The 25,251-nt window shown below is 37.5% G+C and overlaps 1 annotated feature.

Moving 5' to 3' along the window:
- Window positions 1,580-2,087: an enhancer, noted in NCBI's record as "NANOG hESC enhancer chrX:98340142-98340649 (GRCh37/hg19 assembly coordinates)". NCBI's record gives its function as "activates a minimal SCP1, AML or CMV promoter by ChIP-STARR-seq in naive H9 embryonic stem cells {active_cell/tissue: H9 hESC(naive)}" and the evidence as "EXISTENCE:reporter gene assay evidence [ECO:0000049][PMID:30033119]".

A 25,251-nucleotide genomic window follows, 5' to 3' on the forward strand; every position in this document is an offset into this window, starting at 1 on the left:
TGGAGAATAACTGAAGAATAGGACACAGAACACTCGTAGATTTTGATAGAAAATGAGCACTTGTAGGTTAAATGAGAAAGTGCAAATGGCATCACCTACTTCATAAAGTGGCCCAGGCTTACAGTATTCAGAGACTTTATCGCATTGCCAAAAGAAGCTGTATTATTATTTTTTAGAGTTAGTATATATTATATAGCTTCCCAGAAGTAGTAAATGACTAAATCTAGATTTCCACCACCCCAAAGCATCAGTTTTTAACTTGGTAACTGTGTGTGTGTGTGTGTGTGTGTGTGTGTGTGTGTGTGTGTGTGTTGAAAGGCTTTTTATTCTTCTATTTTCTGGATAGAATATTCTATTCTTCTATACTCTTGGAATTCCTTTCTGTACTCTGTAGGAGCCTTGTGTTTTATCTTCTCTGACATTACCATAATCCTCTTTATAATATTTTGTCCATGTCCTTCCTTTTTTCCTTAATTGTCCATCGCCAGCCAAATTAATTCTCCCTGAGGAAACTTCCAAAATCTCTGCCTTTCCAAAAATCACAAGAACATCAGCAATGGAGGAGGAGAATAGGCTTTTTTTGAGGGGAGAAAGGTAGGAAGCAGGGCAGGCTGGCTAGAAGGGGGAAGATTCCATTAGAATGGGTTCTAAGGGGCTAAGTGGGAAAAAGGTTCTCAGGGGAATTCATGCAGCAAGTACATCCAGAGCATACCAGATTATTTCACCAATGCAGCAAAGGGATGCTCTCTTAGTGGTGTCTATTACCACTAAATTAAATCCTTTAGATACCTGGTGTTTTCCTCTCTATGGGGAAAAATCTTTTATATGAAATATCCCTGCCTCTCTCCAAATGCTCTTCTCCTCCTCTACACTCCAAATATTGACCATTGACCATTTTCCATTCGTTTTTCTGTCTTGATTTAATCCAGTTACAAACTTTTCTTACCTACTTAATTTGCTGGCCCTCAAATAATCAAGAAACATTGTAAAAACTTCACATAATCTTTAGAAGGACAGATGCTTTAATTCTTATCCTGGTATTGCATGTGCCTAGAGGAAACAGGAAAATGCTTAAAATGGTTCCAGCTAATTTCAAAGAGAAAGGCGTAAACTGCTGCCTGAAGCAGAAGGCTGGAGAAGACTGCCTATGTCATCACAAGCAGCTGTTCCTATCCCAAACAGGGGAATGAGGAAGGACTTGGATACCAGCTGGGTAACGGAAGTGGAGAGAGATGAAATACATAATTTTGATTAAAATCTTTCTTCTGTAACTTTCACACATATTTCTGCATAAACATTTTCCTTTTTTAGCCTCAAATAAGAGTCAATGTGGCTCAGTGAGGAAACACATACATATATACACACACATAATAACTGAGACTATGGGTTTTAGCCTCATGCAAGATTCTTCTTATGACCTTGGACAAGCATCTTCACCTACATGTGTTACATTATTCTCATTTGAAAAAACATTGTAAAACAAATTCTGAATAAATTTTGGAATTGCTTTGTGAAGGAAAAAATATGATTTTCATTATTCTGATAAAGGTGGGTTTTATAAATTCATAAAGAATATTATACTTTTACTTTTAGATAAACATGGACTATTAACTAAAAGTAGAGCAGTAGCATGTGACATTTAACAGATTAGAAATGATATAATTAGGGAGTGGCCAAGATGGCCGACTAGAAGAAGCTAGGTTGTGTCGCTCTCACGGAGAGGAATGGAAGGGGTAAGTAAAAACAGCAACTTCAACAGAAACAACCAGTTACTGGCATTGGGGACCAATTGAGGAGAATGTACTGGCATTGGGACCAATCAAGAAAACAATGCAACCCACAGAGAATGGACAAAAGCAAGGCAGGACAATGGCTCACCCAGGAGTGACACAGAGCCAAGAGAACCTTCCCTACCCAGGGGAGCAGTGAGTAAATGTGCAACCCTGGGAAACCATGGTTCTCCCACAGATCTTTGCAACTCTTGAGTCAAGAGATCCCCTCATGAACTTACTCCTTCAGTCTGACACACAAAGCTATGAGAAATCTCAGCAGAACAGCCACTCAGGCATGTGCAGAGACCTGGGAGCTTTAGATACTCCATCTCTGGGCTTCCTGTCGAATATAACTGCAACTCCAGCAAAGTGGGACATTAGACCCCCATGCATATCCCTAGGAAAGAGGCTGAATCTAGGGGGTCACCTAGCAATGGTCTGTAGGCCCCACTTCCATGAAACCTCACAGAATAAGACTCACTGGCTTAGAATTCCAGCCAGCCACCTATAGCAATGTTGCAACTACCTGGGCTGGAGCTCCCATGAGAAGGGGCAGGCTGTCATTTTTGTGGTTTGTGCATTTAAACCAGTCCAGTCTGTGGGCTTTGGAGAATCCAAACCAACCAGAGGTGGAAGGAATTCCCCAGTGCAGCATAGCTGGTCTACCAAAACATGGCCAAACTACTGCTTTAAGTCAGTCTCTGGTCTCTTCCTCCTCACTGAGTGGGACCTCCAAATGAGGGCCTCCAGCCACCCCTGCCAGTGTTGTTCAGCCTGCAGAGATTTGAAAACTCCCTGGGATGGAACTCCCAGACACAGGGGCAGACAGCTATCTTTACTGTTTGGATGACTTAGCAGTTCCAGCCTTTGGGCTTTGGGAAGCCCAAGCCAAACAGGGGTGGAAGTGGTACACATGCACAGCACAGCAGCCCTACAGAAAATGTGGCCAGACTGCCACATTTTTAAACCAGGTCCCTGACCACATTCCCCATCACTGGGTGGAGCCTCCCAACCAGCATCTCTGGCCACCCTCATCAGTGATCTTTGACTGACAGAGGTTTCAGGTCTTCCTGAGATGGAGCTCCTAAGTGGAGGGGTGGTCCACCATCTTTGCTATTTGGGCAACTCAGCCACTCTGGCCTTTGGGCTTTGGAATGTCTGAGGCAACCAGGGGCTAAAGTGGACCCCTAGTACAGCACAGCTGCACTACAGAAACATGGCCAAACTACTTGTTTAAGTGGGTCCCTGATCCTGTTCCTCCTTACTGGGCAAAACCTCCCATCCAGGGACTCCAGCCACCTCCTACAGGTGCGTTTGGACCAACAACATGTCTGTATCTCCCTGTCATGGAACTACCAGAGGAAGGGGCAGGCTGCCATCTTTGTTGTTTTTCAGCCTTCACTGGTGAATACCTCCGAGTACTGGAAAATCTGAGGTGACTAGGGACTGGAGCAGACCCCCAGCATACCACAGCAGCCCTATGGAAAAGTGGCCAGGCTGTTAAAAAAAAATGCAAAGGTCAGCACCCTCAAAGATTGAAGGTAGATAAGCCCATAAAGATGAGAAATAATCACCACAAGAATGCTGTAAACTCAAAAAGCCAGAATGTCCTCTTTCCTCCTAATGTCAGCATCACCTATCCAGCAAGAGTTCGAAGCCAGGCTGAGGCTAAAATGCCTGAAATGACAGAAGTAGAATTCAGAATATAGATAGAAAAAAGTTTACTGAGCTAAAGGAGTACATTGTAACCCAATTCAAGGAAGCTAAAAATCAAGATAAACCATCGCAGGAGCTGACAGACAAAATAGCTAGTTTAGAGGAGAATGTAACCAACCTGATAGAGCTGAAAAACACACTACAAGGATATCATAAGGCAGTCACAAGTATTAATAGCAGAATAGACCAAGTGGATGATAGAATCTAAGATTCTGAAGATGGAATTTATTAAATAGGACAGACAGAAAAGAATACAGAAAAAATGCAAATGAATAAACAAAATATAGAATTATGTAAAGAGACTAAATCTGAGAAATATGAGATTATGTAAAGAAAATGAATCTATGACAGGTTGCTGTATCTGAAAGAGATGGGGAGAATGGAATCAATTTAGAAAACATAGTTAGGATATCATCCATGAGAACTTGCCCAACCTAGCTAGAGAGGCCAACATACAAATTCAGGAAATGCAGAGAACCTCAGTAAGATACTCCATGAGAAGATAATCCCAAAGACACATAGTCATCAGATTCTCCAAGGTTGAAATGAAAGAAAAATTGTTAAAGGCAGCAAGAGAGAAAGGCCAGGTCACCTACAAAGGGAAGCACATCAGACTAACACTGGACCTCTCAGAAGAAAACCTACAAGCCAGAAGAGATTGGGGGCCAATATACAACAATCTTAAAAGAAATTCCAACCCAGAATTTCATATCCGGTCAAACTAAGCTTCATAAGCAAAGAAGAAATAAGATCTTTCTCAGACAAGCAAATGCTGAGGAAATTTTCACCACCAGACTTGCCTTACAAGAGCTCTTGAAGGAAGTGCTAAATATGAAAAGGAAAGACCATTACAAGCCACTACAAAAACATACTGAAGTTCACAGACCAGTGATGCTGTAAAGCAACCACATAAACAAGTCTACAAAATAGCCAGCTAACATCATGATGACAGGATCAAATACACACATATCAATACTAACCTTACATGTAAATGAGCTAAATGCCCCAGTTGAAAGACACAGAGTGGCAAGCTGGATAAAGAACCACGACCACTGGTATGCTGTCTTCAGGGACCCATATCACATGCAATGACACACATAGGTTCAAAACAAAGGGATGGAAGAAACTGTACCAAACAAATAGAACATAGAAAAATGCAGGGGTTGTAATCCCAGTTTCTGACAAAACAGGCTTTAAACCAACAAAGATAAAATAAGACAAAGTAGGTCATTATATAATGGTAAAGAGCTCAATTCAACAAGAAGATTTAACTGTTATAAATATATATACACCCAACTCAGGAGCACCAAGATTCATAAAGCAAGTTCTTAGAGACCTTCAAAGAGACTTAGACTCCCACACAATAGTAGTGGAAGACTTTAACACCCCAGTGACAATATTAAACAGACCATCAAGACAGAAAATTTAAAAAGATATTTAGGTCCTGAACTTAGCACTGGATAAAATGGACCTGATAAATATCTACAGATCTCCCCACCCCCAAAAAACAGAATATACATTCTTCTCATCGCTGCACAGCACATACTCTAAAATCAATCATATAATCAGAAGTAAAACACTCTTCAGCAAATGCAAAATAATTGAAATAATAACAATCTCTCAGACCACAATGCAATCAAATTAGAAACAAAGACTAAGAAATTCACCCAAAACCATACATGACTTTTGGGTAAATAATGAAATTAAAGCAGAAATCAAGAAATTCTTTAAAACTAATGAGAACAACGATACAACGTACCAGAATCTATGGGACATAGCTAAGATAGCGATAAGAGGAAAATTTATAGCACTAAATGCCCACATCAAAAAGTTTAAAAGATCTCCAGTTATCAACCTACTATCACAACTAAAAGAACTAGAGAACCAAGAGGAAACAAATCCCACAGCTAGCAGAAGACAATAAGTAACCAAAATCAGAGTTGAACTGAGGGAGCTAGAGACATGAAAAACCATTCAAAAGATCAACAAATCCAGAGGGGTTTTTTTTGAAAATAATAAAATAGATAGACAGCTAGCTACACTAATAAAGAAGAAAAGAGGGAAGATTCAAATAAACACAATCAGAAATCACAAGGGGAATATCACCACTGACATCCACAGAAATACAAACAGCCATCAGAAAATATTATGCAAATAAACTAGAAAATCTAGAGGAAATGGATAAATTCCTGGGCACATACACCCTTCCAAGACTGAATCAGGAAATAGTTGAATCTCTGAACAGACCGATAATGAGTTCTGACATTGAGGCAGTAATAAATGGCCTATCAACCAAAAACAGGCCAAGACCAGACAAATTCACAGCTGAATTCTATAGATGTACAAAGAGGAGTTGGGACTCCTCACAGCTGAATTCTATAGATGTACAAAGAGGAGTTGAGGAGGAGGGACTCCTCTCCAACGCATTCTATTAGGCCAGAATCATCCTGAAACCAAAACCTGGCAGAGATACAACAAAAAAAGAAAACTTCAGGCCAATGTCCTTGATGTCCATTGATGCAAAAATTCTGAACAAAATACTGGCAACCAAGTCCAGCAACACATTATAAAGCTTACCCCACACTATCAAGTAGGCTTCATCACTGGGATGCAAATTTGGCTCCACATATACAAATCAATAAATGTGATTCATCACATAAACAATCATCACATAAACAAACCTGAAGACAAAAACCACATCATGATCTCAATATAAGAAGAAAAGGCTTTTGATAAAATTCAAAATCCATTCATGTTAAAAACTCTCAATAAACTAGGTATTGAAAGAATATTGCTCAAAATAATAATGGCCCTATATGACAAACCCACAGTCAACATCATACTGAGTGGACAAAAGCTGTAGGCATTCCCCTTGAAAACCAGCACAAGAGAAGGATGCCCTCTCTCACCACTCCAATTCATCATAGTATTGGAAGTCTTGGCCAGGGCAATCAGGAAAGAGAAAGAAAAAAAACGGCATCCAAATAGGAAGACAGAAAGTGAAACTATCCCTTCTTGCAAATGACATAATTATATATCTAGAAAACCACATAGTCTTAGCCCAAAAGCTTTGTAAGCTGAAAAACAACTTCAGCGAAGTCTCAAGATACAAAATTAATGTGCAAAAATCACTAGCATTCCTATACACCAACAACAGTCAAGCCACAAGCCAAATCAGGAACGAACTCCCATTCACAAATGCTACCAAAAGAATAAAATACCTAGGGATACAACTTACTAGGAAGGTGAATGGTCACTACAAGGATAACTACGAACCACTGCTCAAAGAAATCAGAGATGACGCAAACAAGTGGAAAAACATTCCGTGCTCATTGATTGGAAAAATCAATATCATGATAATGGCCATACTGCCCAAATCAAGTCATACATTCAATCACATTCCCGTTAAAATAACATTGACATTTCTTTACAGAGCTAGATAAAGAATATTTTAAAATTCACACAAAACTAAAAAGGAGCCTGAATAGCCAAGGCCATCCTAAACAAAGAGAACAAAGCTGGAGGCATCATGCTACCCAACTTCAAACTATTCTACAGGGCTACCATAACCAAAAGAGCATGGTACTGGTACAAAAACAGACATATAGACCAATGCAACAGTATAGAGAACCCAGAAATAAGACAGCATACCTACAACTATCTGAACTTTGGCAAACCTGACAAAAACAAGCAACGGAGAAAGGATTCCCTATTCAATAAATGATGCTGAGATTACTGGCTAGCCACATGCAGAAGATTGAAACTGGACATCTTCCTTCCACCATATACAAAAATTCACTCAAGATGGATTAAAGACTTAAATGTAAACCTCCAAACTATAAAAACCTGGAAGACAACCTAGGCAATACCACTCAGGACATAGGCATGAACAAACATTTTATGATGAAGATGCCAAAAGGAGTAGCTATAAAAGCAAAAATTGACAAAGGGGATCTAATTAAACTAAAGAGTTTTTGCACAGCAAAAGAAACTATCAACAGAGTAAACAGATAACCTAGAGAATAGAAGAAAATTTTTGCAAACTATGCATTCGGCAAAGGTCTAATATCCAGCATCTATAAGAAACTTAAAATTACAAAAACAACATAAAAAAGTAGGCAAAGGGCATGAACACTTTTCAGAAGAAAACATACATGTGGTCAACAACCATATGAGAAAAAGCTCAACATCACCGATCATTAGAGAAATACAAATCAAAACCACAATGAAATAGCATTTCACAACAGTCAGAATGGCTGTTCTTAAAAAGTCAAAAAATAATAGATGCTGTCAAGGTTGAGGAGAAAAGGGAACCCTTATACACTGTTGCTGGGAGTGTAAATCAGTTTGGTCATTGTGGGAGACAGTGTGGCAAAATACCATTCAACCAAACAATCCCATTGCTGGATATATATCCAAAGGAATAGAAATCATTCTATTATAAAGACACATGCACATATATGTTCATTCCAGCATGATTCACAGTAGCAAAGACATGGAATCAACATAAATGCTCATCAATGATAGACTGAATAGAGAAAATGTGGTAAATATACACCATGGAATACTATGCAGCCATGAAAAAGAATGAGATCATGTTCTTTGCAGGGACATGGATAGAGCTGGATGAGATTATCTTTAGCAAACTAGCACAGGAACAGAAAACCCAATACTGCATGTTCTCACTTATAAGTGGGAGCTAACTGATGAGAACACATGGACAGATAGAGGAGAACAACACACACCGGGTCTTTTCAGAAGGTGAAGGGTGGGAGGAGGAAGAACATCAGGAAGAATAACTAATGGGTACTAGGCTTAATACATGAATGATGAAATAATCTATATAACAAACCCCATCATACAAGTTAACCTATGTAACAAACCTGCACTTGTACCCTGGGACTTAAAAGTTAAAAAAGAAATGATATAATTTTTAGTGTATAATTATTATAAAATTAAATCCTCACAGAGAAGTTTTTCACAGACAATATGCAGTTGTGGGCTGCTGTAATAAATGACCAGTTTCAAAAAACTAAAAGAAATTAGAATAATAGAAGAAATTCGAATGACATATAGGAGAATAAACTTAGAATAACAAAGTCATTCCTAAGCAAGAGAGAAAATCTATAAGCCATAAAAGTTGACTAATCTGATTATAAAATTTTTAAATTTCTGTGTGACTTAAACACTATTAGCATAGTTCAATGAGAAGTGGTATAACTGGCAACTACAGTTTCATAATATACAACAAAGGGAAACAAAGTTCCTATATATATAAAGAGTTTTTTATAATTCAATAAAAATAAATTACCTGAAAGAAAATGTATCATGTACAAGAAAAGAACATTTACAGAAGAAATACAGTCAAGAAGCATGACAAGGTAATCAGTCTCACCAGTAGTCCAGAAATTAATATTAAAACAAGATAACGTTTTTCAACTATAGGCAAAGTGTTATTCTCATAACGTAGTGACAGATGTGTAAATGATTACACCTTTTTTGGCCCATAAATGAGTGTATCTAATAAGGAGCATTTCTATCACCAAAAAGTCTCTGTCCTACAGAAACACTCTCATATGTGCACAAAGATATATGGATACGGATATCTATGTCTCTGTTGTTTCTCAGGGGGAATACTTTCAACATTTTCTTGTTCAGTATAATGTTGGCTGTAGTTTTGTCAGAGATGGCTTTTATTAACCTGAGGTATGTTCCTTCCATGCCAATTTTGCAGAGGGTTTTAATCATAAAGGGATGCTGGATCTTGTCAAATGCTTTTTCTGCATCTATTGAGATGATCATATGATTTTCGTTTTTAATTCTGTTTATGTATCACACTTACTGACTTGCATATGTTAAACCAGCCCTGCATCCCTAGAATGAAACCCCCTTGATCATGGTGGATTATCTTTTTTATATGCTGTTGGATTCAGCTAGTATTTTGTTGAGGATTTTTGCATCTATGTTCATCAGGAATATTGTCTGTAGTTTTCTTTTTCTGTTACATCCTTTCCTGAATTTCATATTATGGTGATACTATCTTCATAAAATAATTTAGGGAGGATTTACAATTTCTCTATCTTTTGGAATTGTTTCAGTAAGAGTGCTACCAATTCTTCTTTGAATGCCTGACAGAATTCAGCTGCAAATCCATTCTGTCCTGGACTTTGTTTTGTTGTTGGAAATTTTTTAAATTACTGTTTCAATCTTGCTACTTGTTATTGGTCTGTTTAGAGTTTCTATTTCTTCCTGATTTAATCTAGGAGGGTTGTACATTTTCAGGAATTTATCTATCTCCTCTAGGTTTCCTACTTTGTTTGCATAAAGGTGTTCATAGCAGCCTTGAATGATCTTTTGTATTTCTGTGGTATTGGTTGTAATATATCTTGTTTTATTTCTAATGGAACTTATTTGACTCTTCTCTCTTCTTTTCTTGGCTAACGTAGCTAATGGCCTATAAATTTTGCTTATCTTTTCATATAGCCATCTTTTTGTTTCATTTATCTTCTGTATTTTTTTGTTTCAATTTTATTTAGTTCTGCTCTGATTTTTGTTTTTTCTTTTCTTCTGCTGGTTTGGTGTGTTTTTTTTTCTCCAATTCCTTGAGGTGTTACCTTAGATTGTCTATTTGTGCTCTTTCAAACTTTTTGATGTAGGCATTTAATTCTATGCACTTTTCTCTTAGTACCACTTTTCTGTGTTCCAGAGGTTTTGATAAGTTGTGTCATTATTATTGTTCACTTCAGATAATTTTTTAATTTCCATCTTTCATTGTTGACCCAAGGATCATTCAGTAGCAGAGTATTTAATTTCCATGTATTTGTATCATTTTGAAGTTTCCTTTTTGAGTTAATTTTCAATTTTATTCTTCTGTGGAGAATATTTCATTTGCTGTTGGAAAGAATGCATATTCTGCAGTTGTTGGGTAGAATGTTTTGTAAATATGTTAAGTCCATTTGTTCTAGGGTATAGTTTAAGTCCATTGTTCCTTGGTTTAGTTTCTGTCTTGATAGCCTGTGTAGAGCTGTCAGTGGAGTATTGAAGTCCCCCACTATTATTGTGCTGCTGTCCATCTCATTTATGTGTCATAATAATTGTTTTATAAATTTGGAAGCTTCCATGTTAGGTGCATATATATTTACAACTGTGATATTTTCCTGAACTGTTCCTGTTATCATTATATAATACCCTCCTTTGTCTTTCTTATTTATTATTGCTTTAAAGTCTGTGTTGTCTGGTATAAGAATAACTACTCCTTCTCACTTTTGGTTTACATTTGTATGGAATATATTTTTCCACCCTTTACCTTAAGTTTATGTGAGTCCTGATACATTAGGTGAGTCTCTTGAAGACAGCAGATACTTGGTTGGTGTATTTTTATCCATTCTGTCATTCTGTATGTTTTAAGTTGAGCATTTAGGCCATTTACACTGAACGTTAGTATTGAGATGTGAGGTACTGTTTTATTCATTATTCTAGTTGTTGCCTGAATACCTTTTTAAATTTGTGTTACTGTTTTATAGGTCTTGTGAGATTTATGCTTTAAGGAGGTTCTATTTTGGTGTATTTTGAGGTTTTGTTTCAAGATTTAGAGCTCCTTTTAGCATTTCATGTAGTGCAGGCTTGGTAGAGGCAAATTCTTTTAGCATTTGTTTGTCTGAAAAATACTTTAACTCTTCTCCATTTATTAATCTTAGTTTTGATGGGTACAAAAATTTATGGCTGGCAATTATTTTGTTGGAGGAGGGTAAAGACAGGACCCCAGTCCCTTTAGGCTTCTAGGGTTTCTGCTGAGAAATCTCCTGTTAATCTGATAGGTTTTCCTTTATAGGTTAGAATTACTTCATTTTCACAGTCATACTCTTATGATCATTTTTCTAATTAGCTCTCTAGTTTTCTATATTATTTCCCTTATATTAACAATATTAACAACAAAATTAACACACACCAGCACTGTAGATGTCCAAGAAGTAGAGACAGCATGAACTATTTTACCTGACTTTAGATAAACTGATGACTGTGATGATGAATTTCTCAGGTGTTGAGCTTTTTCTATTTGGATGTCTAGATCTCTAGCAAGTTTTCCTCAATTATTCCCTCAAATATGTTTTCCAAATTTTTATATTTCTCTTCTTTCTAAGGAACACCAATTATTCTTATGTTTGGTCATTTAACATAATTCCAAATTTCTTGGAGGCTTTGTTCAGTTTTTAAATTTTCTTGTCTTTGTCATATGGGGTTCATTCAAAAGTCTTGTCTTCAAGCTCTGATATTCTTTGTTCTACTTGTTCAGTTCTAGGTTTGAAATTTTCCAATGTATTTTGCATTTCTCTAAGTGTGTCTTTCATTTCCAGAAGTTGAGACTGTCTTTTTTCACGATATTTATTTCTCTGGAGACTTTAAAATTAATATCCTGTATTTTTTAAAAATTTCTTTAAGTCGGTTTTTATATTTCTCTGGTATCTCCTTGAGTAGCTTGATAATCAACCATCTGAATTCGTTTTCTGGCAATTCAGATATTTTTTCTTGGTTTGGATGTATTGCTGGGGAGCTAGTGTGGTTTTGGGGGGTGTTATAAAACCTTGTTTTGTCGGCCAGTGCAGTGGCTCATGCCTGTAATCTCAGCACTTTAGGAGGCCGAGGCAGGTGGATCACGAGATCAGGAGATCAAGACCATCCTGGCTAACGTGGTGAAACCCTGTCTCTTCTAAAAATACAAAAAAATAGCCAGGCGTGGTTGCGAGTGCCTGTAGTCCTAGCTACTTGGGAGGCTGAAGCAGGAGAATGGTGTGAACCCAGAAGGCAGAGCTTGCAGTGAGCCAAGATTGCGCCACTGCACTCCAGCCTGGGTGACAGTGTGAGAATCTGTCTCAGAAAAAAGCTTGTTTTCTCATATTACCAGAATTACTTTTCTGATTCCTTCTAATTTGGGTAAACTATTTCAGTGGAAAAATCTGGAACTCAAGGGCTTCTGTTCAGATTATTTTGTCCCACTGAGTGATCCCTTGATGTGGTGCACTCCCTGTTCCCCTAGGGATGGGGTTTCCTGCAAGCCAGACTGCAGTAATTGTTATTGCTTTTCTCGGTCCAGCCACCCAGTGGGGCTATCAGGCTCTGGGTTTGTGCTGGGGAATGTCTGCAAAGAGTCCTGTGATGTGATCTGTCTTCAGGTCTCCCAGCTGTGGATATCAGCACCTGCTCTGTTGGAGGTGGCAAGAGAATAAAGTAGACTCTGTTAGAATCCTTGGTTTTAGAGATGTTTTCTGGCTTTCTCAGATGCTGGTTATGCTAGCAGTAAAGTTGTCATGTAGACAGACTCAAGATCACTGGCCAGGATGTTGCAGGCAAAGAGATTAGCTGTTGTTTTTTTTTTTCCTTCCTTGGAGCAGGGCTGTTCTGTCAAAAGTTGCTGTAACGGCCTGAGTTGGTTGGCCTCCAGCTAGGATGTGGCACATTCAAGAGAGCACCAGAGCTTTTTGCCCGTCTCATGGAATTTGTAGCAGCCTGCTGCTTCTTTCAGAGGATCTGTGATTTTTTTTTTTTTCTGGTACACTCCTGTGTGGGTTCCCGGAGCAAAAGTCAACAGTGTGTCTCCACACACTCTTCTGTCTGTCCAAGTGGAAGTTACACATCATCCCTGTCTCCTGTCTGCCATATTCCCTTTACCTCCCCAAGACTGTTTTCCTTATGAACATTTTAAAAGGGGTAATCCTGAACAAAAGTCCCATTAGTGCTACTGCTCCTAAGTTTTGTAAAACAAGAGACTTATGGAAAATTTTCTACCAACTATGTACACCCTTTGTTTCCACACCATTTTGGTATCTGTCAAATTTTCCCATGAGTATGCCGCTACATCAGTGACTCTGATTAATCTGATCAACAGGGTTAAGATTAAATATATTTACTTTGTTTCATATGTCATTTAATTAAGTTTACTATCAAAGGGTTCCAAGTCTGAGCAATTGAATAAATACTATAAACCATCAGGGCCTAACTTTGAAAGTGGCTCAGTCAGCTTGCACTGCCATGACAGACTGGATGGCTTAAGCCACAGAAGTTTATTTTCTCACAGTTATCTAGTCTGGAAGTCCAAGATCGAGGTTCCAGCAGATTCAGAACACTAATCTTATCAGATCAGGGCCCCATCTTAATGACTTCATCTAACTTTAATTAAGTATTTCCCTAAAGTCCCTATCTCCAAAGACAATCACATTAGGGGTTAGGGCTTCAACATACACATTTGGGAGGTTGGAGCAGGGCAAACATCATGTTCATAATGGAAAGCCAAGTGGATTTATCCTTTTTTTTTTTTTTTTTTTGCTTTTTAAAAAATTGCCAGATATGCTGGTTACCTGGGTGACAAAATTGTATGTACACCAAACACCCGAGACAAACAATTTACCCATGTATAAAACCTGCACAGGTACCCCCTGAATGTAAAATAAAAATTAGGGCCGGGCACAGTGGCTCATGCCTGTAATCCCAGCACTTTGGGAGGCTGAGGCGGGTGGATCACGAGTTAAGGAGATCGAGACCATCCTGGCTAGCACAGTGAAACACCGTCTCTACTAAAAGCACAAAAAATTAGCCGTACGTGGTTGCATGCACCTGTAATCCCCGCTACTGGGAAGGGTGAGGTAGGAGAATCGCTTGAGCCTGGGAGGGGGAGGTTGCAGCAAGCCGAGATTGCACCACTGCACTCCAGCCTGGGTGATAGAGTGAGACTCTGTCTCAAAAAAAAAAAAAATTGGAAAGAAAAAAAAGGCAAAATTGTATTACTTCTCATGTACAACATTTTATGTTGAAAAAAATATATATATAAACATATTATGGAATGGCTAAATCTAGCTAATTAACATATGCATTACCTCACAAAGTTATTTTGTGGTGAGAACATTTAAAATCTACTTTATCAGCATTTGTCTACACTTAAATTGTTGTTTTTAACTGACTTCTCCACCTGCCTCAAGGTATTAATACAGGTATAAGAGGATGTATTAGTGATTGAATAGAATCTACCATGATATATAAACAAGAACCTAGTACAATTCTATATTCTATAATAACCCTGGCTTGTGAGTCAAGACTGAACTGAATACCTTCCGGAGCCAAGGCAGTGGTTCCTTAAAATACTTGAAAGCTTCTTATAGCCATCCCTAAGGTACAAATCACCATGTTTTCTGCAGGGAGGCAAGTTAGTGCCTGGCTTTCACACAAGAAGTACAGTCCCAGAGTGTACACGGTGCTCAAGGAAAGAAAATGTTATTTACAATGGTTGGGGGCCTATCAGCAGAACTTGTCATTAGTCAGAAGGCACGGGTTTATAGTGCCTACAATGTGGCCTCTTGGGTAGCTGGCAGACCTTAACATTCTTCGTTCAGTTTAATAATCTAATATCATTTTTGATTTTGGAGAGACTGCCTGTGGGCAATCAATTAAACTTGTGTTTTTTGTTGGCCATCAACAAGGCAGTATTCATCCACCCCACAGAAAAGAAAAGTGAGAATGGGAGAATATCTGAAGGTTATGCACAAGAGGTGCAGGAGCTTGAGCCATCTCTCATTGTTTCTAATAGACTTATGAAGGTTAAGGAGAATAATGGCTAATTCACAGTTGGTGCTAGTTAGTGGGGGATGACAGACTTGGTAGTAAGTTGAATTTAAGGTTCTGTCAAGGCTATGGGAGAGCCACACCAGGGCATTTACATTTGGAAGAAAGATTCCAAGGTGGTTTTGAAAGATGAAGATTCATTAATGTCCCTTCCTCTCCCACATCTCCCAAAATGTAAAGTGTTCCTTTCCACCTTCACAAATCAGTAGCCATAATGTTATATTTCTCCCCAGTCATCTCCTGTTTACATCCACATCTTACATATGGAAGAGTCAGGTGCAACAAGCACAAAATCATTTTTATAAAACTTAACCAGAACTATATATTTGGATTCTCTAGTCTCCCTTTTGGTCAGGCTGTCACCTTGAGAGTGTATCGACCACATCAGCCTAGGGCTACCATTGGGGGGAAAATGACATATCATGCCCAGGAATGGTCGGGCAGAATCCTGAATATTCAGTATAGGGCCTTATAACCAGCCCCACTCCTTTTGTCCTGATTATTATTCAGAAAGCTGCTGAGAGGAAATGATCCCATTCTGAAGAAAGCTAAATCCAATGAAAAAGTCATCTTACTGATGTGTGTGGATCAAGAGAAGATAAGAAAATTAGAATGAAAAATTATTTGAGATAATTTTTTAGAAGATACCCAATAACAATAACAGATACTTTTGAATGGAGAAAACTTGAGGTGCCATAATACCTGGACTATCAGCTTACTCTTGAGTCACTTTTGTGATAAAAAAAAAAATGTTCCATTTTCAGACTGCAAATGGTCCAGAAAGCTGAATACGTGACACCTGCTAGTTTTAAAGGCCATACTGACATGACCAGAATCAGCTAATAAGACTAGAACAGAAACTCTGTAACCTGAAAAAGTGTCATCAGCAGTGAAATAAAACCCTTAGCTTTGAGAAGGATTCAAATATCCAACATAGGCATTCTACCAGAAGTGGACAGGGCAATATGACCTGTGCTATGTGGCTTTCCTCCATCACGAAAAAATCAAGTAAATTTTGGCAGGGGTGACAAGCATGGCATGCATTGATGGCCTCTGCATCAGAAACATAGACTCCTTTACTTTGTTTCCCCTCTCTGATGATGGATGTATTGTCTGTGGCAGTACTATGAGAGACTCATACAGTATTGGTGGGTAATCTGATCAGTATAGACTTGAACAGAAGCTTTATTCACATCAGTCTTATCAGAGGATGGGCCCTTACCTGGCATCTACACACATGACTCTTGACAGTTTGGTCAGTAGCCAGAACTGCTTTCAACAGCCTATAGTCCCAAAAAGTAAGGTTTTCAATCTGTCAGTCTCTAGATTTCCAAATAGCGAAGAACTAGGCCATTACCAACAGTAATAACAAAACAAGATTCATTAGGAAGAATAGTAGTCAGATCTATGAGAATAGGCTTGAGTTCTGTCTTTGAGCAGAGTGGCTATGTCCATTTTTGTTTCTGTATAGCTGGAGCTAAGGTTGAACAGCTGCCATAGACCAGTGGACAACACAAGTTTAAGATTATCCTATGAGTGAACCAGGACAAGGAATTTAAGAGAAAATTTTTGAGTTGAGGGTCCCATTGTATCAGCACCTTTGCTTCAGGTGGCAGAGTGAGTGATACATTTTCTCCCAAAAGGATAGCTGCCACTTTTCATGTAAAATCAAGATACTAGTGGGGCAAGGATGGCTGCATTCTAAAATAAACTATTTTCATTTAAAAAGTGAGGCTTAGTAGGTCTTTCCCACCTTATTAGTCATTGAGTCTTACTTGATCCATACCAAAATAGAAATAACAAGTTAACAGTCACAAGGTATTTTTAGGTCTGGTGTCCATTTCATAAGAGCCCAATAGCAAGCTAATAGCTGATTTACAAAAAGAAGGATAAACACTACTGACCATTAGAGAAATGAAAATCAAAACCACAGTAACATCTCACATAAGTCAGAATAGTGATTATTATAAAGTCCAGAAACAACAGATGCTGGCGAGGTTGTGAGAAATCGGATCGCTTTTACATTGTTGGGGGGAATCTAAATTAGTTCAACCATTGTGGAAGACAGTGTGGAGATTCCTCAATGATCCAGAACCAGAAATATCATTTGACCCAGGAATCCCATTCCTAGGTATATACCCAAAGGAATATAAATCATTCCATTATAAAGATACATGTAAGCATATGTTCATTATAGCACTATTAACAATAGCAAAGACAGGGAATCAACCCAAATGCCCATCAATGATAGACTGGATAAAGAAAATGTGGCACATATATACCATGGAATACTATGCAGTCATAAAAAGGAATGAGATCATGTCTTTTGCAGGAGCTTGGTTGGAGCTGGAAGCTGTTATCCTCAGCAAACGAATGCAGGAACAGAAAACCAAATGCTGCATGTTTTCTCTTACAAGTGGGAGCTGAGCGATGAGGATATATGGATACAGGGAGGGGAACAACACACACTGGGGCCTGTTGGTGGGAGCAGAAGGAGGGAGAGCATCAGGAAAAATAGCTAATGTGTGCTGGGCTTAATACCTAGGTGACGGGTTGGTAGGTGCAGCAAACCACCATGGCATACATTTACCTGTGTAACAAACCTGCACATCATGTACCCCAAAACTTAAAACTTTAAAAAAGGGCAGGATAAGTTCAAAACCCCAAGGTTGCCTCCATGTGAAGGCTGCCTCCCTGTTCCAAAATACCTAATTGGAAAAAAATCATCAGTTATAGAGACTTGTAGATCAAAGTTGTGAATAGGGTTTTGAGTTTTAAAGGTACTAGCACTTCTCTATATGTGGCTTCTTTCCAATTGGGATAATCTTCTTCAGTATAAACAGATAAGAAAGTACAGGCATATAAGATCAATTTCTACTATAAATTCAAATGTAGAAGCAAGAGCAATAATAAGTATGCGAAAAACGTCACTCACAAGATTGCATTAGACTTTGCTTTCCTACTTTGAACTCAGTCCAAAGTCCATCAGTTTAAACAGGTCTCACCCCCTCCTCCAATGGGATTAGATAGGATGGTGATGTAAGAACTATATCCAACAGTCTTCAAAGTTTCAATTCTTTTTCTTCCTAAAATTCTCTAGCATATTCATTTAAGTATATATTAGCCCTTGGCCCCTGTATTAGTCCGTTTTCACACTGCTGACAAAGACATACCAAAGACTGGGAAGAAAAAGAGGTTTAATTGGACTTACAGTTTCACATGGCTTGGGGGGGGCGCCTCAGAATCATGGTGAGAGGTGAAAGGCACTTCTTACATGGCAGCAGCAAGAGAAAATGAGGAGGAAGCAACAGTGGAAGCCCCTGACAAACCCATCAGATCTTGTGAGACTTACTCACTATCACAAGAATAGCATGGAAAGACCAGCCCCCATGATTCAATTACCTCCCCTGGGTCCCTCCCACAACACGTGAGGATTCTGGAAGATACAATTCAAGTTGAGATTTGGGTGGGGGCACAGCCAAACCATATCAGTCCCTCCTGAGGACAAGCTCCACATCTAATCATCTTTGTATTTAAAGTAGATGAAGTCAGAATAACAGAGGGGGTGTGGAGAGGACCTGGAGGGAAGGTGTGGCTCCATTCCAGTAAACAAGACACTATCAGCTTTGAGAAGCCTGGCAGCTACTCATGGCTTAACTAAATGAACTTTAATGTTGTAGATCCACCAAAAGTTCTATATATTCATGCTGACACCATTTATTTCAGCTTTGGGGACACCTTGACTCAGTTCTTGCATTCACATTGCCTTTTAGCTGAAGCTTAGGGGTATGGCTCCATTGTCATGACTAAAACCTTCCTTTCTCCCTCCTCCAGCAGAGTAGAAACAATCAAAACACCATTTGAGTGCCTTGTTTAATCCTTTCACTCACTGCTCAGCTTTTTAACATTCAGTAACAGGTAGGACAGCCAGAGCCCTTTACTTCTTGCCCCCCATCACTTTTGCAACAGCATGCACTAATGGATCTCAGATAGTCATTTTATATTCCTAGCCTGGCTTGTAAGGCCCTCATCCTCTCTCCTCTAGAGAGCCATGTCTCTGTCAGCACCCTATCCTCATAATCAATAGCTGTCAAGAACTGTGAAGGGTCAGATATTATATTCTACTGGCCAAATAACAAGTTAGCCTGCTACAGTTTCACGGATGCTGGTTGGAGACATGAGACTCGCAATCAGAGACAAATAAATCTATTACTCACAAGGCAGCAAGCAGCATACCTTCATGTTTATGTCTGTTTTTCTTGACCCCAAGGCTCACAACTGTAATACAAAGAAGCACAAGTGGATGCTGTGCACAGTAGGTTTGTGTCACACCTGAGGAAGCTCAAGTTTGGGGAACCATTATCTTTTCTAATGAGCTGTAAACAAAACTGATTGAAATTTGCTTTGGAGGGAGACATCTGCATTATATTGGGGGGTAAAAATACCAATCCTTTGCTCTGGAAAATGATAGTTTCAATATATTTCAATGCTGTTTGTTTTATAAACATCCTTAAAAAGATAGTCCAGAACAAATGGCAGTTAATGTCCCCTCTTTTCACAGAAACGTAAGATACCCGTGGAAACACGTCTCCCAACAAGTATATGTGTTGTAATGTAACAATATACAAGTCATAATGTTAAGTAATGAAGTCTCAAAGGAATATGCATAATATGATTTTGCTTATGTAAAGACATATGATGTTTGGGTTGTGTTCCTCTACATGTTTCTACAAAATCTTAAACAACAAAAATATTCTCAGGTATTATTTATATATTAACAAACAAAAAAATTGAATAGAATAAAGAACCTATCAAATACTAAGGATATATTAAAAATGTAGGAATGTTTCTATTATGTTATTATAATAAATGTTATTAATACATTAAATTATTTGAAAACCATGCTCATAAAAATCTAGGTGTTCAAATGAGTTCTGTTTCAAGTTATAATAATATGTATTTTGCTGAACCATGCTTTGAAAAGTTGCTATATTTCTAGAAAGTCTGGGAGCTTAAATTTTAAGGAATCCAATAGATACAATGCAAATATCTGCTGTTAAGGTTTCTTTTTTTCCCTCTTCTTTAAATAAGAGGGAAGTCCATGTTCTGCTGATAGGAAAAAAAGTAATACAGATATACATATATATATATATATATATATATATATATATATATATGTGTGTGTGTGTGAGTATATATATATATGCACAGACATACACATATATGAATTTATGTGTTTGTATACATATATATATATATATATATATGTGGGGGGGGTATGCTTTGTACCCACACACAGAGACATGTAATGTGTTTTATATACTTTCAGTCTTTTTGTCTTTCTGTGTCCACTTTTATTTATGTGAAAAATAACAAAGAACTTTGATAAATCTGAAATTTTTGTAAAATGACTTCAAAGTTTCTTCACTGTTTTTCATTCATTCATTGATGAAGTATTTATTCAGTACTTAAAATATGACAAGCACTCTTCTACATGCTAGCCATACAGAGGTTAACACAACAATATGTCATCATGAAACTAATATTCTAATGGGAAACAAACAGTAAACAGAAAAATAAACGTTCTAATGTGCTACAAAAAATAAAAAGTAGAATAAGGGAATAGAGCTTTATAAATATGTTCCTTTAGGTAGAATAGTAATGGAACGGCTCTGTTTGGAACAAACACATGAAAAAAGTGACAGAATGAACCATGCAAAGTTGATAGTGAAAGAAGGCAGTCACGTAAAAAAATAACATCTTAAACTTAAATTTTTACAGTTGACAGGTGTAAAAAAAACACAGAGGTTTTAAATGTTCAGTAGTTTTAAGTTGTATATAAACATATCAACCTAATAATTATCTCTCCCACATAGGGTTGAGACAGTTAGACAAGAATATTAAAATAACTAGTAAAGATAAAAAAGGAATATGTTAAGCCATGATAATTTGAAAGGAAATAATCTATAAAAAGTTGTTTACCTTTTTAAACATTACTGACTCTGTTTTTAAATTTTATATTGAAATATCTCATATTGAATATCATAGAAAATATTATTAGAATAGTATAAGAAATACTTATTTATGTACCACTCAGCTTTTGCATTTTTTAACTTTTTTTAACATTTTGCAATTTTTAACATTTTATTTGCAACTCATTTCCCCTGTATTCTTTAGATGTAATCATTATCCTGCATTCTGTATTTGGATATAAGGGGAAGACTCTATGCAACACCCATGATGGATTCCTCTTGGCCTCACCTTTTTCTTATTTCTGCCATTGCTGTGAATACCATTATTGTGCCAGTTCTGACCGGTTTCATGCAGATGCAATTTCACAGCATCGTACCTCAGACACAAACAGTGTACTTCTTGCTCCCATCCCAGGGCTCTTTTATTGCTGTTGTGGCCATGAGACACTACAAGAACCTATTCAAGTTTCCTGCAAATTTCATACAATATCGAAGTGCAAAAGAGTGAATATCCCATAGGGCAAAATTTTGACCTTGATTATGGAAGCTAGCATAAAAATCCCATTCCTTTATTATCCCTAAATAGAATCCTGGGATGTGCTTCATATGGCTAATCAGATGGTCCCGTGAGATAGAGGAACCAGTGGCTTGTAGAGGTTTCCAATTTGATAATGTATCATTTTCTTGGCTCCCCCACCTTTCCTGCTTTGTTTTCCCTGTCCCGCAGTCCTGCTCCCTGAGACCATACACCCTGATAAATTATTTACACATAAATGTTTGTATCATGCTTTACTTTCTGAGGAATTCAGATGTCTTTTGATGTAACAGAGCTTTTCATTTCAATATTTTAATATAGTCAGTTTGTACTTCTTTCATGTGTTTTGTGGTTTGCAAAAAGTTTAAGACCTTCTCTCCTGCTCTAAAGGCACAAATATATTCTATATTTTCTTCTAAATGTTTATGGTAAAGCAAGAATCTACTTTATTTTTTTCCAAGTGGACAATAAATTAACTCAGTAACATTTACTAAATGAATAATCTATACTTTATCAACTTTCTATTATGAAAATTTTCAAACATACAGAGAAGTTGAATAAGTAGTATTCTGTTTGCTACAAGGTAAATGTTTATGTCCTCCCCAAATTCATATTTTAAAACTGAATCCCCAATATTATGGTATATGGAAACAGGGCCTTTGGGAGGTGATTAGTGCTCTGACAAAAGAGACCCCACAGAGCTTTCTTGTTCCTTCTGTCTTGTTGAGGACACAGTGAGAAGACGGTCATCCGTGAACCAGGAAGCATGCCCTCATCCGACATCAAATCTTCTGGTGCCTTGACATTGTACTTCCTGGCCTCCAGAAGTGTGAGCAATAAATTTCCATTGTTTAACAGTCACCAAGTCTATGGTATTCTGTTATAGTCACCTGAAAAGACTATGACAGTGTGCAATCATATAATTATTACCCATTGCTAATATATTGGTATACTGGATTGATCTGTAACTCTCTGTATGCATAAATGTCTTTCATAACTGCTTTTTAAAAACCAGAGTCCAATCAAAGTTAATGCATTTTAAAGCTTTAAATCTAAGGAATTTCTATCATCTTTTTCTTTCTTATGACAATGATATTTTGAAAACATCAAGCCAATTTTTGTGTAGAATAACTCCATTCTGGATTTGATTGTATCCTCTAGATGTTGTTTAACATGGTCTTTTACCCATTGTATTATTTCTAAACTGGAAGTTAGATATAAAGGCTTTATTTTAAACAAGTTAAATATTTTTGTCAAAAAATTGTAAGGGACACTGTGTGCTTCATATTGTATCACATCAGTATGTCTGCAATGTTAGGTTTTGCTACTATTCATGATACTAATTTTGATTACTTGGTTGAAGTGATGACTACCATTTCTAACAATTGTAAAGGTAATTTTTTCCTGTCATGATTATCAATGTAACTTTCTCTTTGTGAATTACCTTCCTTACTCTTAGAGAATGACGATTATCTTGTATATGCTGTATATTATTTTCATGTGTTTCCCCAAATATTTACTATTTCTTCATCTTTTTAAACAATGGGTAGTATTATACACATTGTAATAAATAGTATTTAAAATTTTACACAAATTTTATTATCCTTTATATTTTCTTCTGTAATATGCTTTTTGAATTGAATAGTTATGAGATTAATCAATATTGAAATATAAAAGCTTTCATTTATTCATTTTTACTGTTGTATAAGATTCTACTATAGAGATCATTAGCAAATTGAATGTTTATTGCGGCACTATTCACAATAGCAAAGACTTGGAACCAATCTAAATGTCTATCAATGATAGACTGGATTAAGAAAATGTGGCATATATACACCATGAAATACTATGCAGCCATAAAAAAGGATGAGTTCATGTCCTTTGTAGGGACATGGATGAAGCTGGAAACCATCATTCTCAGCAAACTATCACAAAGACAGAAAACCAAACACTGCATGTTCTCACTCATAGGTGGGAATTGAACAATGAGAACACATGGACACAGGGTGGGAAACATCACACACTGGGGCCTGTTGGGGGTGCAGGGCTGGAGGAGGGATAGCATTGGAAGAAATGCCTAGTGTAAAGGACGAGTTGATGGGTGCAGCAAACCAACATGGCACATGTATACCTATGTAACAAATCTACATGTTGTGCACATGTACCCTACAAAGGAAAGTATAATAATAATAATACAAAAAGAAACTGCCAAAAAAAAAAAAAAAGAAAGGAAGAAAGAAAATTACCTAGGAATGATAATGTATTAGGGCTGGGCATGGTGGCACACGCCTTTAATCCCAGCACTTTGGGAGGCTGAGGCAGGTGGATCACTTGAGTCTAAGAGTTCAAGAACAGCCTGGACAACATGATGACACCTCATCTCTAAAAAAAAAATGCAAAATATTAGCTGAGCATGCTGGCGCATGCCTGCAGTCCCAGCTACTTGACAGGCTGAGTTGTGAGGATTGCTTGAGGCTTAGATCTTGAGACTGCAGCGAGCCGGGATCGCACCACTGAACTACAGCCTGGGTGAAAGAACAAGAGCCTGCCTTATTTATAATAATAATAATGTAAAGAAATTGATCATTTTTCTTGTCCCCAGAGGCAAGTCCAAAAGAGAAGGCTTTGAGGATTCCTGTTTTAGTCTTGTTACTGCTTACTGTCTTTGAGTAAACTTTTGGCATCCAATATGCAAGGGTAAGATAAGAGACAGAGCTTTTCTTCTCCAAAGACAACATACATGAGTTACAAATTTCCTATTCACTCTCCTGTGTGATATAGATTTCTCTGTCTCATCCATTTTAATTCTAATATTTACAGTCTGTTCCATGATGATCCTTGTTTTGGGGATTCAAATTACATCAAATGTTAAAGAAGACAACCCCAGCACTTTGGGAGGCTGAGGTGGGCGGATCAAGAGGTCAGGAGATAAAGACCATCCTGGCTAACATGGTGAAACCTGTCTCTACTAAAAATACAAAAAAAAAAAAAATTAGCCAGGCGTGGTGGTGGGCACCTGTAGTCCCAGCTACTCGGGAGGCTGAGGCAGGAGAATGGTGTGAATGGCGTGAACCTGGGAGGCAGAGCTTGCAGTGAGCTGAGATTGAGCCACTGCACTCCAGCCTGGGTGCTGGGCAACAGAGTGAGACTCTGTCTCAAAAAAAAAAAAAAAAACAAACGAAAACAGGACAACCATTTTTTTGTACACTAAAAACTGTAAAACATTGAAATATATTGAAAAAGATACAAATAAATTGAAAGAAGTCCTATGTAAATGAATTTGAAGAATTAAAATTATTAATACATTCATACTTCCCAAAGCAATCTACAGACTTAATGCAATCCCTGTGAATATTTCAATATAGTTTTTCCTAGAAGCAGAAAAAACAAACTTAAAATTTGTATGGAACCATAAAATACCCCAAATAGCCAAAGCAATCTTGAGCAAAAACAACAAAGCCAAAGGCATCACAGTACCTAATTTAAAAATATACTGCAAAGCTATAGTAATCAAAATAGCATGATTCTGGCATAAAAACAGACACATAGACCAAAGGAACAGAACAGAAGTCTCAAAAATAAATCTATGCATTTATGGTCAATAGATTCTCAACAAAATCACCAATAACACACAATGGAGAAACAA

This window comes from Homo sapiens, chromosome X, assembly GCF_000001405.40.
Source record: "Homo sapiens chromosome X, GRCh38.p14 Primary Assembly".
Lineage (NCBI taxonomy): Eukaryota > Metazoa > Chordata > Mammalia > Primates > Hominidae > Homo > Homo sapiens.